We start from the raw sequence: 3523 nt of genomic DNA on the forward strand, positions 1-3523 counted from the left end.
CCATTCTTGCACTCATTTCTCACACGACCCATGCTATACTCAACTACCCTGTAGTTTTTCCACTTACATTACATGGTCCAGTGCCTCCATGAGAAATGAAAGGAGTATTTTCACACTAGAATTATAAGAGAGAATGTATCAAATATTTTACATTTTTATCTCATTTATTTTTTGCTCAACTTTAAGAGGGAGGTATAATCATTATCCTCATTTTAAAAAGAAAAAATAGGGCATTTGAGAGGCTACATAAGCTGCCCAATGTGGCAAGAAGAATAAACAGACAACGCTAGAATAAAATTCACATCTTTCTCCTCCACAGCTATGTCTTTATCCTCTATGCCTTTTTGCTGTTCCATAGGCTATCCTTCTGCCCAGAATTTCTTCTTTCTCACCTCTTTGCTGTCAAATAAACTACAGTTACTCTTTTTAACTCAGCTAAAATGTCTTCTTTTTCTGTAAAGCTTTCCCAAGAATCTCTCCTTCCACTTCAGCAGGTTAAAAGCTTCAAACTTTGAACTTTAAAATACCTGGTATCTACCTTTTCTGTAAGATGTATTATGTTATACTATAATTATCTATTTAGGCGTATTTTCCTCACCAGATTTAGTGCATGACTCACTTCCCTGTATTGTTTTGTTTTCTACATAGACTTATCACAATGTATGCATCCAGAAACAGTTTGTGGTTAATTGATTGACGAGTGCTATATAATTTGACTTTAAAAATGCCCAAGAATCTAGAAGTGATATGCATAAATGATCTTAGTTAAATGGAGCTTTCACATTGTACATAGCTTCAAGCAGTGAATTTCAACTGTGAAGTTAAAACTTCTTAGTGGAGAAAACAGAATCTCAGAGTATTAGTGATATGTGCAGCTTATGCAATTTATTAGTATAATATATGTTTGGGAACATTTTCCCTTCCAAATACTAATTAGGGAATATAAAAGGTAAACACATGTTTTGACACGTTTATGTGTAACATAGTTCTCAATATGTGTGCACTATCTTCTAAACGTATTGAAAGTGGCCATGGCTGGACCAGCGTCGGCCCGTCGCCTCCACCTCTGCTGCAGCTGGGCCCCAGTCAGATCCCTCTGGCCCGGCCTGACTTGGTCTGGCTAACCCGGGCTCAGCGGCCATGAAGCCACAGCTCCCGATGGAAATCATATTACATAGAATATTTGGGTGACATCTGCCTGAGAGATCTCCAAGAATTACAGAAAACAAAAATACTAATGCACTTGAGAAAGCGGTAGTTTTGTGGGGAGGCGGAAAAAGCAACTGCTTTTCTGCAACTTGGCTGGATGCTAAGATGTCCGTGGACATGAATAGCCAGGGGTCTGACAGCAATGAAAAGCACTATGACTCAAATTGTGAGGAAGAGGAACAAGAAGAGGATGAAGACCCTGGGGACATAGAGGACTATTACCTGGGAGTAGCCAGCAATGTGGAGCAGCAGGGGGCTGATGCCTTTGATCCTGAGGAGTACTAGTTCACTTACTTGACCTACAAGAAATCTGAGGGTGCCCTGAACGAGCACATGACCAGCTTAGCCTCTGTCCTAAAGGTATCTCATTCAGTTGCTAAACTTATATTAGTTAATTTCCATTGGCAAGTTTCAGAGAGATTGGACAGATACAAGTCCAATTCTGCTCAACTGCTCGTTGAGGCTCGAGTTCAGCCTAATCCATCAAAACATGTTCCCGCATCTCATCCCCCTCACCTCTGTGCAGTGTGTATGCAGTTTGCGCGAAAGAAAAACCTACTCTCCCTGGTCTGTCAGCACCAGTTTTGCCGTAGCTGCTTGGAGCAGCACTGCTCAGTTCTCGTTAAGGATGGTGTGGGTGTGGGAGTCGCTTGCATGGCTCAGGACTGTCCCACTCCATACACCAGAGGACTTTGTGTTTCCATTGCTTCCCAATGAAGAATTGAGAGAGAAATACAGGTGCTACCTCTTCAGGGACTATGTGAAGAGTCATTACTAGCTCCAGCTGTGCCCTGGTGCAGACTGCCTCATGGTTGTTCGGGTACAGGAGCCTAGAGCTCACCGAGTATAGTGCAATCGGTGCAACGAGGTCTTCTGTTTCAAGTGTCATCAAATATATCACGCACCCACAGACCGCATCACCATCCGAAAATGGCTCAAGAAGTGTGCAGACAACTCTGAAACAGCCGACTACAGTAGTGCTCACACTAAAGACTGTCCCGAATACAACATCTGCATTGAGAAGAATGGAGGCTGCAATCACATGCAATGCTCCAAATGTAAACACGACTTCTGCTGGACATATCTAGGAGATTGGAAGGCACATGGCAGTGAATAATATGAGTGCAGTACTTACAAGGAGAATCCTGACATTGTGAACCAGCGCCAACAAGCCCAGGCGAGGGAAGCCCTCAAAAAGTACTTATTCTACTTTGAGAGGTGGGAAAACCACAACAAAAGCTTGCAGCTAGAGGCACAGACATACCAGCAGATTCATGAGAAGATTCAGGAGAGGGTCATGAACAATCTGGGGACATGGATTGACTGGCAGTACCTACAGAGTGCAGCCAAGCTCTTGGCCAGGTGTTGATACACCCTGCAGTACATCAACCCATATACATATTACATGGAGTCTGGACCCAGGAATGAGCTGTTTGAATACCAGCAGGCTGAGCAGGAGGCTGAAATTGAAAACCTCTCATGGAAAGTGGAACATGCAGACAGCTATGACAGAGGGGACTTGGAGAACCAGATGCATGTAGCCGAGCAGTGGAGGAGAACCCTGCTGAAGGATTTCCATGACACCTAAGTTGGGATGTGGATGTGCGGGGGTGAGGAAGATAAGGCTGCAAGGTCTCCTGGCTGCCCTACTACATGCTGCAGGCTCTGCCTTTCATGACCCCTGGCGACAGCCAGGGCCCCACTCCTGAGAGACACTGGCAACACCTCTTAGTTAATTTCTGTTTTCTTCTCTTCTCACTTTTTGTTTCTGCCAGGGTAGAGGCCATGTTGAACTGGTCTCTTTTCAGGACTTTTACTTCCCCCTGGATGGTTGTTGAGTGGGAGGGAAAGTGTTTTTTGGATAGCTATTAATAATATTAGATCATTACAACTTATGTAACTTTCAAAGTTTGTACAATTATACAAAAAAAGGCAAACTATAGGATAACACAGAGCCCTTTTTGAAAATAAATTGGCATTGGAGTGTAAAAAAAAAAAAGAAAAGAAAAAGAAAGTAGCCATGGCTATAAAAGAGTAAGAAATAGCAATATAAAGCTCAAGTACACTTGGCAGGATATTAAGGTCCCATAAAACAGGACTAATTAAAAAATTACCAACCATTTCACAGTATAATGCCACCAAAAATATAAGGAATCTGGTCCTAATGAATCAAATTAATTGATTCCCCATTTAATAAATGGTGTTGGGAAAACTGGCTAGCCATATGCAGAAAACTGAAACTGGACCCCTTCCTTACCCCTTATACAAAAATCGACTCAAGATGGATCAAAGACTTAAATAAACATAAACCTAG

General features: G+C 42.4%; 1 pseudogene; it reads left to right on the plus strand.

The window, feature by feature from the left end:
- ARIH2P1 (ariadne RBR E3 ubiquitin protein ligase 2 pseudogene 1) lies at positions 996 to 3196 on the plus strand (annotated as a pseudogene).

Source organism: Homo sapiens, chromosome 18 (assembly GCF_000001405.40).
Source record: "Homo sapiens chromosome 18, GRCh38.p14 Primary Assembly".
NCBI lineage: Eukaryota > Metazoa > Chordata > Mammalia > Primates > Hominidae > Homo > Homo sapiens.